The sequence below is a fragment of the Homo sapiens genome, chromosome 7 (assembly GCF_000001405.40).
Source record: "Homo sapiens chromosome 7, GRCh38.p14 Primary Assembly".
Classification (NCBI taxonomy): domain Eukaryota; kingdom Metazoa; phylum Chordata; class Mammalia; order Primates; family Hominidae; genus Homo; species Homo sapiens.
In genome coordinates, this window is record NC_000007.14 from 21828374 (window position 1) to 21844682 (window position 16309).

A 16309-nucleotide genomic window follows, 5' to 3' on the forward strand; every position below is an offset into this window, starting at 1 on the left:
TGTTCTAATTTCCAAATTCAAAATAAAATTTAATTGCCACAAATCTGCAACAGCTTTTCTATTCCTAAATTTAGTAAAGTTTTTTTTCCCTTAATAGTGTAATCTTTAGCATTTGCAGATAAAGCATTCTCACATTCAGTCATCTTGGTAATAGTTGTTTGACTTTATCTGAAAATAAATACCAAACAGGGCTTCAGATAAAGAATCCTCAGATTCTTTTATTTTCTTTTTAAAAAGCAGTCTTCCAATAAAATAACAAACAAATGAAATTGTCTTTGTTTTTGATGCTACATTATGATGTTTAAATATGGATATGTTGAAGCGTGTGTAGGTGTGTATCAAAAGAGAAATAATCTACTTATGACTTTTTTTTTTCATTTTTCTGGGTTTTTTTTTTTTTTTGCTGTACAATGTTACCTGGACTCCTGAAACACCAATGTTGTTGTTGTTGTTGTTGTTGTTTAATTCTGGTTGAAGTTTGCTTTTATCTTAGAAGGGCGTGTTGGTTATATTAACTGTATGAAGCAGCAAGACAATTAACTCATTTCTATTCAGGGTTTTCTTTCCTTCTTTTCCTTGAGCGTCTTGCCAGCTGTGCAGCTTTCAACCAAAACCTTTCTTCGGGAAATGGGTTTGACCAACTTGCACAGCCCTTCCCGCTGAGGTTGCTAAGTAACAACTCCCCTCTTGTGGTTTGCTACGTTTGCTACACCTGATCTTTTCCGCTGCACTCTTGACTGTAGCTGTTGGAATTCCCAAGTCTAATCTAGAAGCTTTTAATTTTAAACAGCAGGATGTGCAGTAAGGCTTTTAGATGTCCATTGAAAAGTTTATTTCTTCTCCTAAATGTGTTTCCCCCCACCCCCCGCCAATTAGTAGGCTATATTATTTGCTTATCTTAAAAAGCAGCTACTATCTCTTTACCTTGACAAAATGCCTCTGATGAAGCCTCCAGAATGGAATTTCTCCTATTCAGAGAACATGTTGGCTATCTGAATTGTCCAACTTAGAGTGAGAACCTTCAATATAATAATACAATATCTTAGGAAATCTCTCTCCAAACAGCAGGTTTTGCAAATCTTTTGAAAAGATTCCTACTGCAGCCATTTCTAATAAAGCCACTTCTAATAAAGACTCTGGTCTACCACAATAGTAAGTCTTGATTCCAAATTAAATATGTTGCTTTCCATGTTTGGTTTTAGATGGCAATGGAAAATAGTGATGGTGTTTGTTCAGGTACTCAGAGTATCTGATAGCTAAATAAATGCATTTTGGTTTTTATAATCAATACTGATGACATTTCCAACAGTAACTATACTAAATCTTGAGAACGTTTCCAATAAAAGTAAAAGGGGCATCATTCGTTTTCAGATGAAGATTTTAGAAATAAGAATTTCAGATAATAATCTCTAAATTGAAATTCTCGTCTTGGTTATATTAAGATAATGGTTCCTCTCTCAGCTCACAGAGATTCTTGTTTTCAGGAAACTGATCATTGGGAACAGTGTTTGAATTGTTCTGTCACAGAAGTACTTTGAAAACTAGCCAAGAAATCATTCCCAAGTGTTTTTAACGTGATTTGCATAGCTATCTTCCAACAGTAACGACTTTCCGTGATTTGAAGAAGTTAGACGTCTTTTTGCCCCAGGACACTAATTTTTTGGCTGGGTTTTGAATAAACATTGAAAGCATTTTGATATTCCCAGTGTACCTGGCTTTTATGCATATCTGACGTTTGAAAGGTTAATTTATAGATGATACGTATTTGAAGACGGTTGTCATTATTATAAAATAATTCATTTGGTTAACTAGCAAACATTTTGGCACACTTAATACATTTTCTTTCCCTGAGAGCTAAACAGTAGAAAACTTTTATACAAGTTGAATGATTTATTGTAAAAAAATTATGAATTAATAATTCAATTTATGAATCTATTGACCAGAAATTATAGATCTCAGATGAGGATTTGATACTTCGGTAGTTGTTGCTATTCCCCTTCATAAACAAGGACAGAGTTTCTGACCAAAGACTAGCAGGGCGTGTGCTCTGAACTGTGTCTGTTGTTTTTCTCTAGTGGCAGTCAATTGTTACTGAGTCGATCATATTCTCTCAGTACCCTCTTGTGATAGAAAGTCAGGCAGGTTGACAGAGGCTGACATTATAGGCTGCCACTGTCAGAGCAAATTAACCTGCAATGTTATGCAGTGAAATGAACTTTATACTAGGAGTCTAGAGACCCAGGTTCTAGTCCCAGCTCTGCCTCTAAGCTAAGCCACCTTGGCCAAGCCATAAACTCTTTAGGTCCATAAAAAAAAAATCAGTTGAGTGATCTCTAGTGGCTCTTCTTGATCTAATATTATGCTCTGCTAGATGAAACAGCATGTTTTTTACTCACCCCATGTCCTAGCCAATTAAACCATTTGTACTCAGAGAAATAGGAGTACATATTATATTTATGTACTCATAATAGGTACTCAGTACAAATATATGGTATTTGTACTCAGAAAAATAATTTTATTTCTGTTCTGAGATTACTTAAGCAGCTTCTCATCTCCAAACCAGCAAATCTCAGCCAGTGGGAAGAGACAGAGGAGGAGCTCACTCCTGCAGAGGGATGTATAAAAATCCTATGGGAGCAGCCCCGTGCCAGATTTGGAGATTCACACCCACTTGACTCTCCGTGTGATGCAGTGACAAGGGCCAGTGTAATTTGTTCCTGTGGGGAGTGGAGCTGGAAGATGGATTAAGGTTAACCTCTGTTTTAAGAAAGTAGCCACACTTCCAAATTTTATGTTGCTCTTCACACCTGCTGTTGCTCCTATTTGGAATTTAAGTTCAAGAGCTCATAGCTACCTTCAGTGTTCTAGAAGTCATAACCTCTGGATTCATGTCTTTCACAGAAACAACAAAGTGATTCTGTTTGCTTTTCCCACCCCTCTGGTTAACTTTGTAGCTTTTTGATCCTTCAAGTCATGAGAGAACATTAGCAGTCTGTTTAATTTTCCCAGATAGGAAATTAACCAAAAATTAATTTAGCAGCAATGATAAAACCCACTGAGTCATTATATAATTTTTGCCTCTCATAGATCATAAACACCCCAATTGAGTATAATTTACTATCCCTGGGAAATCTAAACATATCAAATAATGTTTCAGAGCAAGATGTAAAACCCAGTTTTATAGGCAGACATCCTTCTCCTTTCCAACAGCATGGCAGCATCCTCCCCCCCTCTATTAACCTCTCTTTTCACAGAGAAAATAACACCTATTCCCCAAGCAGATACATTTCTGCTTTTCAAACTGGAATCCTGTATGCTTCAGGATATACATAGATATGCAAGAGAGACACAGAGTGAGGAAGTCATCCATGAAGCATCTTACGGAGGTTAACTCAGATACTTGATTAAACATTTAACCAGTTAAAAGCTTCTGTTGGCCAGGCGCAGTGGCTCACGCCTGTAATCCCAGCACTTTGGGAGGCTGAGACGGGTGGATCACCTGAGGTCAGGATTTGAGACCAGCTTGACCAGCAAGGTGAAACCCCATCTCTACTAAAAATATAAAAATTAGCCAGGTGTGGTGGCAGGCACCTGTAGTCCCAGCTACTCGGGAGGCTGAGACAGGAGAATTGTTTGAACCCGGGAGGCAGAGCTTGCAGTGTGCTGAGGTTGCACCACTGCACTGCAGCCTGGGTGACAGAGTGAGACTCCATCTCAAAAAAAAAAAGCTTCTGTCACTTGCACCCAGAAGCAAAATTGTGAGAACCTCATGCTTCTTTTAATTGGGGCATTTAGTCCATTTACATTTAAGGTTAATATTGTTATGTATGAATTTGATCCTGTCATTATGATGCTAGCTGGTTGTTTTGCCTGTTAGTTGATGCAGTTTCTTCATATGTCGACGGTCTTTACAATTTGGCATGTTTTTGCAGTGGCTGGCACCGGTTGTTCCTTTCCATGTTTAGTGCTTCCTTCAGGAAAGGCCTGGTGGTGACAAAATCTCTCAGCATTTGCTTGTCTGTAAAGGATTTTATTTCTCCTTCGCTTATGAAGCTTAGTTTGGCTGGCTTTCCATTTGCTTGGTAAATATTCCTCCATCCCTTTATTTTGAGCCTATGTGTGTCTTTGCACGTGAAATGGGTCTCCTGAATACAGCACACTGATGGATCTTGACTCTTTATCCAATTTGCCAATCTGTGTCTGAGAACCTCATGCTTCCTGATGACTAGTCTCACACATTTATTCTTGAAAGCCTAGAGGAAGGAGCATCGTTATATATAGTGGCTAATTGGAAAAATTAGCTGCTATTGCTTTGAGAAGAGATTACACTAGCACCGTTAGCCAATGTGATCCTCTAGAGTGGCAGTGGACAAATGGCCTGTTTTGGTGCAGCCTGGGAACCAAGAATGGCTTTTAAAGGATTGGAAACAAGAAGAATATATGGCAGAGATGTATGTGACGCACAAAGCCTAAAATATTTACTCTCTGATCCTTTTACAGGAAAATTTGTCAACCCCTGCTCTAGAAGGATTTCTTATTGAAGCCTGAACACCTGCTACTTTAAAAAATAAGTTAATCATCTTGCTGGTGGTTTGTGCCGCTTCTCATGCATATGTGAATACACACACATAAACACAAACACATACACATACACCACACAAATCTCTAAATTAACCTGACTTCTTACCATAGTTCCCAATCCCATGACAGTGAACTGTCCCATTGAACAATAACAAAAATTCTAGACTTCTCTGATTCAGTGTTCTTGACTTAAATTTACATTTTGTATTTGTTTAATTTTTAATTATAGGAATGTATAAATTCTCTTTTCATCAGGGAATATATGTTAGTGGTTGAAACATGAAGTTCATGAAGTATGAACATAAACCTGGTGAAAATTCTTAAGCAAGTGAGGAAATATTCAAACAACCTGAAATGATAGAAGGTGGTGACACACTGGAATTTCTCTAAGACTCTCCACAAGGGGATGAATGAATTCAACCCAAGGTAGAGTGGCAATGAAAAGATGACAGGATGGGCTGGGCACAGTGGCTCATGCCTGTAATGCCAGCACTTTGGGAAGCCAAAGTGGATGGATCACCTGAGGTCAGGAGTTCAAGACCAGCCTGGCCAACATGATGAAACCTCGTCTCTACTAAAAATAGATAAAAATTAGCCCAGCATGATGGCACACACCTGTAATCACAGCTACTGGGGAGGCTGAGGCAGGAGAATCGCTTGAACCCAGGAAGTAGAGGTTGCAGTGAGCCAAGATCGTGCCACTGCTCTCCAGCCTGGGCAACAGAGCAAGACTCCACCTCAAAAAATAAAAAATAAAAATAAATAAATAAAATAAAAAATCACAGGATGCACATAGAGGTGTATTTAAAATATAAGTTTTATTGTAGAGATGCAAATGAGTATAAATGTTGGTATCTCTTATGTGTGAGAACCCTAGGCCCTAATGACATGAAACCCTCACTCTTGAAATTTCATTTAAACGTCAGTCAATACAGCAAAACGATAATAATAGGGGACCTCAGCACCTTACTTTCAGCAATGGACAGAACATCCAGATAGAAAATCAGAAAGAAACATCAGAGTTAAACCACACTCTAGACCAAATGGACCTCACAGACGTTTACAGAACATTCCACCCAATAGCGCAGAATATATATTCTTCTCATCAGCAAATGCAATTTTCTCCAGGATAGGACATATGTTATGCCACAAAACAAGTCCCAACGAAATTTTTTTACACAATTGAAATTATGTCAAGTCTTTTTTGTGACCACAACAGAATAAAACTAGAAATCAATAACAGGAGAAACTTTGGAAACTATACAAATACTTGGAGATTAAAAAATGTACTCCTAAACAACAAACGGGTCAAAAAGAAAAAGGAAATTAAAATAGATTTCTTGAAACAAAGAAAAATGGAAGCACATACCAAAACCTATGGAACACAGCAAAAGCAGTTCTAAGAGGGAATAAATTCCTACATCGAAAAATTGAAGGGATCTCAAACTACCCATGGTTATGCCTCAAGGATCTAAAAAAGACAAGAACAAACTAAACCCAAAATTAGTAGAATAAAAGAAGTAATGAAGATCAGAATAGAAAAAACAAAATAGAGAATAAAAGAAATACAAAAGATCAACAAGACAGTTGGTTTTCTTGAAAAGTTAAACAAAATCAGCTATAATTCCAACACTTTGGGAGGCCAAGGCAGGAGCGTCGCTTGAGGACAGGAGTTTGAGATCAACCTGGTCAACAGAGAGAAACCCTATTTCTATGAAAAATTTTAAAAATTATAAGATAAATTAGCCAGGCATAGTGATGCATGCCTGTAGCTCTAACTACCTGGAGGCCGAGGCAGGGGGATAGCTCAAGCCTAGAAGTTCAAGGTTGCAGTGAGCTATGATCACACCACTGCATACCAGTCTAGCACTCCAGCCTGGGTGACAGAGTGAGATGCTGTCCCAAAAAAACAAATAACACAAACAAGATCAGCAAACCTCTACTTAGACTAAAATTTTCAAAAGTTTCAAATCAGAGACGAAAAACAAAACATAACTGATACCACAGTAATAACAGACTATTATGAACAAGTATATGCCAACAAAATAGAAAACCTAGAAGAACTGGATAAATTCCTAGACATGTATAACCTATCAAAATTGAATCATGAAGAAAGAGAAAATCTGAACAAACTAATAATGAGAAATGAGGTTGAATCAATAGTCAAAAGTGTCCCATCAAAGAAGAGCCCTAGGACCTGATGCATTTACTGCAGAATTCTATCAAACATTTAAAGAAGAACTAATACCAATCCTTTTCAGACTATTCCAAAAAAAAAAAAAAAAAACAGAGGGAGTTCTTCCAAACTCAACCTGAGTCCAGCATCACCCTGATACTAAAACCAGATAAGGACATACACAAAAGTTTATGGGCCAATATGCCTGATAAACATAGCTATAAAAATCTTCAACAAAATAAAACCAATCAAAATTCAACAGCACATTAAAAAGATCATTCACTATGACCAAGTGGAATTTATTCCAGGAATGCAAGAGTGGTTCAACATACACAAATCAATAAATGTGATACATCACATTAACAGAATCAAGGGGAAAAAACATACAATTATTTCAATCAACACAGAAAACAGCTTCGATAAAATTCAAGATCCTTTCATGAGGAAAATTCTCAACAAATTGTGTATAGAAGGAACATACCTCAAAACAATAAAGGCCATATATGACAAACCCACAGCTAACATATTAAACAGGGAAAAACTGAAAGCCTTTCCTGTAAAATCTGAAACAAGACAAGGATTCTCACTTCCACCACTTCTATTCAGCACAATACTGGAAGTTCTAGGCAGCAAGTAAGTAAGAGAACTAAAGGGCATCCAAATTGGAAAGAAGAAAGTCAAATTGTCCCTGTTTGCAGATGACATGATTGTATATATAGAAAGCCCCAAAGACTCCTCAAAAAAAAAAAAAACCGTTAGAACTAATAAACAAATTCAGTAAAGTTGTAGGATACAAAATCAACATACATAAGTCAGTAGTGTTTCTATACACCAATATTATCTGAAAATTCAAGAAAGCAATTCCATTTACAAAAGCTACCAAATAAATAAAAAACCTAAGAAATTTAACCAAGGAGGTGAAAAATCCTTACAAAGAAAACTACAAAACATTGATGAAATAAATTGAAGAGGACACAGACAAATGGAAAGATATTTCCTGTTCATGGATTGAAAGAATTAACATTGTAAAACTGTCCATACTACCCAAAGTGATCTACACGTTCAATGTAATCCTTATGAAAATACCAACGACATTCTTCACAGAAATAGATAAAACCATCCTGAAATTTATATGGAATCAGAGAAGACTCCAAATAGCCAAACCAACCTTGAGCAAAAAAAACAAAGCTAGAGGCATCACACTACCTGACTTCAAAGTATACTACAAAGCTGTATCACCAAAAGAGCATGGCACTTGCGTAAAAACAAACACATAGACAGATGAAACAGAATAAAAATCCCAGAAATCACACACTTATAGTCAACTGATTTTCAACAAAGTTACCAAGAATACACATTGTGGAAAGAACAATCTCTTCAATAAATGGTGCTGGAAAAATGATAACCACATGCAGAAAAATGAAACTAGACCCCTGTTTATCATCAATGACAAAAATCAACTCAAAGTAGATGAAAGACTTAAATGTAATACCTGAAACTATAAAACTACTAGAAGAAAACATTAGGGGAATGCTTTATAACATTGGTCTGGACAAAGATTTTTGGGGTAAGACCTCAGAGGCTCAGGCAGCAAAAGCAAAGATAGACAAATGGGATTACATCAGACTAAAAAGCTTCTGCACAACAAAGGAAATAACCAACAGAGTAAAGAGACAACCTGCAGAATGGGAGAAAATATGTTCAAAATATGCCTCTGACAGTCAAGAGCTTAATATCTAGAATATATAAGGAACTCAATTTAGTAGCAAAAAAATGAAAAGGATGTGATTCTAAAACAGGCAAAGGACTTGAATAGACATTTCTCAGAAGACATACAAATGACCAACAGGTACATGAAAAATATTCCACATCACTAATTATCAGGGAAATGCAAATCAAAACCATAATGAAATATCATTTCACCCCAATTAGAATGGATATTATCAAAAAGACAAAAAATAACAATTGCTAGAATGGATGTGGAGAAAAGGGGATGCTTATACACCATTGGTGGAAATGTAAATCGGTATAGCCATTATGGAAAAGAGTGTAGAGATTCCTCGAAAAACTAAGAACTACCGTATGATCCAGCAGTTCTACTATGATGTATCAAAAGGAAATGAAATCAGCATGTCAAAAAGATATCTGCACTTGCATGTTTATTGTAGCATTGTTCACATTAGCCAAGATCTGGAGTCAACCTATCAACAGTTGAATGCGTAATGAAAGTATGGTATATATACACAATGGAATACTACTCAGTCATAAAAAAGAATAAAATCCTGTAATTTGTGGCAACATGGATGAACCTGGTGGGCATTATGTTAAGTGAAATAAGTCAGGCATAAAAAGACAAATACTGCCTGCTCTCATTCGTGTTATCTAAAAAAGCTGATCTTGGAAGTAGAGTAGAAAAATGGTTACCAGAGGCAGGGGAGGTAAAAGGAGGGAGGATGGTGGGGAGAGATTGGTCAATGGTTACAAAATTGCCCGTTGATCATTTTAATAGATCATCGTTACTTTTTTTTGGTAACACCATTATCAAGATATAATTTACATACTATATTACCATTTGACCACTTGAAGTATGCAATTCAGTGGTTTTTAGTTAGGAGGAATACGTTCTGGTGTTCTGTAGCACAGTAGGGTGACTATAGTAAACAATATTATAGTGTATATTTCAACATAACTAGAAGAGAGGATTCTGAATATTCCCACCACAAAGAAATGATCAATGAGATGATGGATATGCTAAATACCATGATTTGATCATTATACAATGTATACATGTATTGAAACATCTCATGGGGCCCCATAAATATGTATAATTATGTGTCAATTAAAAACAGTTTTTAAAAAAGTCAGTCATACACATCCTGAAGTTAGGCTGAGTCAAAAGAACTAGCCGTGAACTATACAGTGAATAGCACTAACAAAGATTTTCTCAAAGCTGCTTGTGAGATCATTTTGGAAATCCTTGGAAAGAGGAAACTCAAATAATAGAAGGAATTTTGATGATGCTCTCCACTGTAGACATATTTGAATAGATTGTCCATCAAAAGAGGCAGGTTAATTTAGAAAGATGTCCTTATCAAACAAGATTATCCTGTGATACACATTGCTATGCTCAAAAGACAAGCGTGAACCTCTGAGAAACTGTATTAGCATGGTAACTTACAGACTGATAAAAGCCCAAATGTTAATGATTTGACCTCTGATAATTGTTCCCTTTTTTTGGTAGCATCCTTATCAAGATATAAGTCACATATTATATAATTCACCCACTCAAAGTGTGTAATTCAGTGGTTTTTAGTATATGCACAGAGTTGGGCCAACATCAACACAATCTGTTTTAAAATGGAAATTGCTGTATCTTTCTGTATTTATTTGCCTGTTCTGGACATTTCACTAAGTGGAGTCATATAATATGTGATCTTTTGTGACTTCTTTCACTTTGTACATTTTCAGGTTTCATTTGTGTCGTAGCATGTATCAATACTTCATTCCATTCTATGGCCAAATATTAGGTCGGTGCAAAAGTAATTGTGGGTTTTTCCATGATATTTCATTGTTTGGATTTTTAAACTATTTATTTATTTATTTATTTATTTATTTATTTTTGAGACAGGGTCTCTGTTGCCCAGGCTGGAGTGCAGTGGCCTGATCACAGCTCACGGCAGCCTCGACCTCCCAAGGCTCAGGTGATCCTCCCACCTCAGCCTCCTAAGTAGCTGGGACTACAGGTGTGTGCCACCACACCATGCTAATTTTAAGGAATGGCCAAACCGCTTGCCAATGTGGTTGCACAATTTTATGTTCCCATTAGCAGTGTATGAGGGCTCCAGTTTCTCCATGTCCTCACCAACACTTGTTACTGTCTTTGCTTTTTTATTATAGTCATTCTCATTGGTGTGAACTGGTACCTCACTAAGGCTTTGATTTGCATTTCCCTGGTGACTAATGATATTAAGCATCTTTTCATATGCTTATTGGTCATTTGTGTTTCTTCTTTGGAGAAATGTTTATTTAGTTCTTTTACCCATCTTTCACTTGTACAGATGTTTGATCATTGTTTGCCTATCAAATTATAGAAACATGACTGAATACATATTTATTGGCTGAATAGATGGAAGAATAAATCACTATATTAAAAGTTGATGCCGACCGGGTATGGTGACTCACGCCTGTAATCCCAGCACTTTGGTAGGCTGAGGGGGGCAAATCACGAGGTCAGGAGTTTGAGACCAGCCTGGACAACATGGTGAAACCCTGTCTCTACTAAAAAATACAAAAAATTAGCTGGGTGTGGTGGTGGGCGCCTGTAGTCCCAGCTACTCAGGAGGCTGAGGCAGGAAAATGGCGTGAACCCAGGAGGCAGAGCTTTCAGGGATCCGAGATCACACCACTGCACTCCAACCTGGGCGACAGAGTGAGACTCCGTTTCAAAAAAAAAAAAAGGGGACGTATGTAATGCACAGGTATATACTGGCTTGGGCAGAAGAGGGTTGCTAGCTGAATTGCTTATTCTCCTCTTGGAAAACAATTAAATAGTAGGAGGTACTGACAAGGTAAAAACAAATCCAAACTGAATAAAGTGAATAAATTCACCATTCAACTAATAGGGTTTTCAAAAGTGGCTTATCTGGCAGAATTTTTTCAAGTTTAGACACTTAATCAACAACTCTGAAGGTTTCTGTTGTCAGTGTAAGATCACTCTGCAGGGAAAACAACATTTGAGAATTAGATGAAGACAATAGGTCATAAGTCTGATCAGTCCTTTGGGATTTTAAATTCATATTCAGGCAACAAAAGCTTTAGTAATGTAAGAAAATTTTAATTTTTAAATAGTCTTTACACATTAAAACCAGTTGTCTCATTAAAAATGTTTCCAGTCAAATAACACAGCCAGTGGTTCAGAGGCACTTTCCTTACCATAGACACAAGAGACCTAATCTCTGAGCAAGACACAATTATAAAACATCATCCAAGAACCACAGAAAACATTGCCACTTTATGGCATTCTGGATATCACTCCTCAAATTAAAAATTGTTGCTAATATTGTGACATTTCGATAAAAAGGAGCCCTGTCTGAATGCGATAGAACATCTTTTCTTTAGAATTTTCCCAGTTGTTCAAAATTGACAAATTCAGTGAAATAACATCTCACCTGGAAGTCAATGAGATAGGCAATAAATATTTTTTTCTCATGGCTATTTAAAATAATTTCAATTAAAATAATTGGGCTCTGGCTAATTTTCTATCATGACATCTATACAATTTAAATATTTTATACACTTAATAATGAAGAATCCAAAATTTTCATATGTAAGGTAAAATAGAAGACTGAGCCGAGACTGTTTGCTGCAGCCATGCCTCTAGGCCTCATAAGAAGTTTCACTCTAAGCAGCTTAGGCCGCTTTGAGAAGTTCCAGTATTCGTGGTTTTGGCTTCTCTGTCTCTTGCATGAATTAGAAAGCTCCCCCTTTACTAGATCCTCATAGCAGGTTCCTAGCAGGAAAGAGACCATGAAGCTTGTATGAAAACATCTCATGTACCCCATAAATACATATGATTACTACGTACCCTTAAATTAAAAAAATAACATGAATTAAGCTGGGAGTTTTGAATAGAATTAGCCTAGTGACTATTTACAGAAATAATTTTCAGAGGAAAGGGTTAAGTAGAGATGTTGAGGCAGACAAGGATTTGCAGTTACAGGAAGCCAATGCAGAAAGTATTGGAAAGTAATTTTTTAAATATATGTGTTGGGCTGGGTGAGGTGCCTCACACCTGTAATCCTAGCACTTTGGAAGGCCAAGGCGGGTGGATCACCTGAGGTCAGTAGTTGGAGACCAGCCTGACCAGCATGGCAAAACCCCATCTCTACTAAAAATATACAAAAATTAGCTGGGCGTGGTGGCATGCACCTGTAATCTCAGCTACTCAGGAGGCTGAGGCACAAGAATGACTTGAACCCAGGAGGTGGAGGTTGCAGTGAGCCAAAATTGTACCATTGCATTTCAGCCTGGGTGAAGGAGTGAGACACTGTCACACACACACAAAAAAGAATATATGTGTTTTTAATATTTCATCTTTATAAAAATAAAATATTTTAATACGTTATTTAAGATACATAAGTATATTAAATACATACTTAAGATGCATTATACATATATATACAGATATACATAAACACATACATACACATCTTATCCTTAAAGAACTGCAACATTTAATGTATGTTTAATCACAGAAAGTACAGCTGGCCCTGAAATAACATACTTTCATGCTAATGTTGATGAGGGAAAAAAACATCACTTCCTGCTTGCTGGGACCACTGTCTGTGTGGAGTTTGCACACGTTCCCCATGTCTGCCTGGGTTTTCTCTTTTCCTCCTGTTTCCTCCCATATCCCACAGCTGTGCATGTTAGGTGAGCTGGAATGTCTATATGGTCCCAGTGTGAGTGAGTGAGTGTGGGGGTGTGTGAGTGTCCCTGCCATGGGATGACATCCTGTCCAGGGCTGGTTCCCACCTGGTGCCCTGAGTTTCCAGGGTAGTGTGCAGCCACCCGGGAGCCTGAACTGGAATCAGTGGGTTAGAAAAGGAATGAATGAGTGAATACAAACTATTGTCAAATAAAAATTTGTAAATTAGACGATAATCATACAAATGCACGACACTGAACATTGCACTACAAAAGCCCTTCTCAAGCCTGCCAGATCTGTCATTGCTTTTGAACTGTGTGGTGGTAGGAGGTGCTGCTTAAGATTTTCTGCTTTGTACACATTTATTTCTCAATTTAACCTGCCCCCTCTATGCCCACCATTTCTCACTAATGCACCAAAAATTGAGTAAATAATTATCTTGTTTTTATTAACCTTTTAAAATGTATATGTAGCTCACATTTATTTCAGTGTTTAATATTAGAGGTGTTTGAGGCCTTTATTTAGAAGTTTGATGATGTTTTTGTGACCAGGAACATGCCATAGGAACTTCACTCTTGTTTATATCAATTAGTCAGTGGTAAAACTGGTTTCTTCATATGTTGTTTTGCTTAAAGTCACAGTTTGCAAGTTTATCGATTACATCGAGGACTTACTGTATAATAATAAAAGCTAATATTTGTTGTTATAGGTCTTTTATATGATTGTATTTAATTGTTACAGTGACACTATGGGGTGAGTACTATTATTGTCAATATTTCACATATGAGGAAACTAAATCATATAGAGATTTGCTGGGTGATTGCTGATCCTGCTGTACTTTAGGAAATTTGGGAGTAGCTGAAAAATTCTCAATCACCTGAGCTTCTGGCCAAGGTCCATTATAAGAATACAGGAATGGAATGACACCGTAGTATCAGTTATGGGTCATAGGAGTCTCCTGAAAGTCTGTGTTTTGCTCCGTTTAGGTATATCAGGATTGGAGATAAAGAATGTGAATTTAACAAGAACTTTCGCCTTATCCTTCACACAAAATTGGCAAATCCTCACTATAAGCCGGAATTACAAGCTCAGACAACTCTCCTCAATTTCACAGTCACAGAAGATGGTCTAGAAGCCCAGCTGCTGGCAGAGGTTGTCAGTATTGAAAGGCCAGATTTGGAGAAACTTAAGGTAAAAATGTTTACGTCACCACCAACACTTAGTCGGCATTTGCTTTGCACAAATCACAGTGCTAGACATAGAAGTATAAAATAGGATTCCTGCCCTCTAGAATCCTGCAACCTAATTGGGAAAAATAAGTATACATGTTAAAAGTTAAACAATTCAAAGTTGCTCTTCATAAATGCTAGATTGTTACGGTTATGCCACACGTAGGAGATAGGGTGGCTCTGGATCTTGTTTGAGGGCAAACAAAGAGGCATACGAGTCATGTAAAATAGAGGTATGTGCCCAGGTATGTTGGAATGTAATCGACTAATTTAGCCTGGGCTAAAGAATGAAAAAGAGGTATAATGAAGCAAGCTTGGAAGAATTAAGGACCTGGTAGCTAGTTGTGACTAGTATTCAAAGGGACATTCATGGCCTTAAGTATATTAAGAAACAATGCTGAAAATACTGAAATTTAGTGTTATATACAGAAAACAAAGCAACATAGCCTTAAAATGTAGAAGAAAGGCAATAATAAAGATAAAATCAGAAAATACTGACATAGAAAATAGACAAAAGATTAACAAAATAAAAAAGCTAGTTCTTTGGCAAGAAGGGGTGAGGAAGTGATATAGTAGATATACTTCCATAAGGACTAGTGAAGAATAAAAGATAAAAGGCAAGTAAGGGAAGACAAAGGCATATAACTACACACAGATTAAAAACTATAAAGGAATGCTATGCTCAGGTTTTTTTTGTTTTTTTTTTTTTTTTGAGACAGAGTCTTGCTCTGTCACCAAGGCTGGAGTGCAGTGGCATGGTCTCGGCTCACTGCAACCTCCGCCTCCTGGGTTCAAGCGATTCTTCTGCCTCAGCTTCCCGAGTAGCTGGGACTACAGGCATGCACCACCACGCCCAGCTAATTTTTGTATTTTTAGTAGTGATAGGGTTTCACCATATTTGCCAGGCTGGTCTCAAACTCCTCACCTTGTGATCCTCCAGCCTCAGCCTCCCAAAGTGCTGGGATTACAGGCATGAGCCACCACGCCCGGCCATGCTGTGCCCAGCTTTCTAATAATAAATTTGAGTATTGAAATGGTGATGTGAAAAATAAAAAGAATTTATGTGCTAACCTGGGCAAATTTGGCAATAGTGTGTCTCAAAAATTTAAATGAGATACATTAAGAATTAAAACAAGGATTTATATTTCAGATGTTAGAGATTTATGGCCTACATTTTGGAACTTGAAAGGATTTCTTCACACAGATGAACAACATTATTCATATTTTGAAGAAGTAAGCTAGAATACTTTTTCTTAGTATAAATCAGGGGTCCGCAAACTGTGGCTTCCATGCCTAATTTGGCCTGCCACCTCTTTTGGTTAATAAAATTTATTAAAACACAGCCATGGCCAAACACAGTGGCTCATACCTGTAATACCAACACTTTGGAAAGCTGAGGCTGGATCACTTGAGGGAAGATCACTTGAGGCCAGTTTGAGACCAGCCTGGCCAACATGGCAAAACCCCATCTCTACTAAAAATACAAAAAATTAGCCAAGTGTGGTGGTGTGCAACCGTAGCCGCAGCTACTGAGGAGGCTGAGGCACAAGAACCACTTGAACCCAGGGGCAGAGGTTGCAGTGTGCCAGGATAGTGCCACTGCACTCCAGCCTGGAGGACAGAGCAAGACTCTGTCTCAAACAAAAACAAAAACAAACAAAAAACGGACTTGTTCATATATTTACATATTGTCTATGACTGCTTTTGCACTATAATGGCAGAGTTGAGTAGTTGCAACAGATACCTTATGGCCTACAAAGCCAAAAGTATTTATTATCTGGCCCTTTCCAGAAAACGATTGCCACCCTGGTATAAATCAGTGGTTCTCAAACTGGGGGTCCTGGAACAGCAGCATCACCATCAGCTGGTGCTGATACAAATACACTTTAAATGCAA

General features: G+C 37.4%; 1 protein-coding gene across 1 annotated transcript in view; it reads left to right on the plus strand.

The window, feature by feature from the left end:
- DNAH11 (dynein axonemal heavy chain 11) overlaps positions 1–16309 on the plus strand; it is a 358801-nt gene that overhangs the window by 285335 nt on the left and 57157 nt on the right. Inside the window, exon 66 of the mRNA NM_001277115.2 lies at positions 14171–14375. Coding sequence (NP_001264044.1) covers positions 14171–14375 — 205 coding nt within the window. The remainder of the gene's footprint in view (positions 1–14170; positions 14376–16309) is intronic.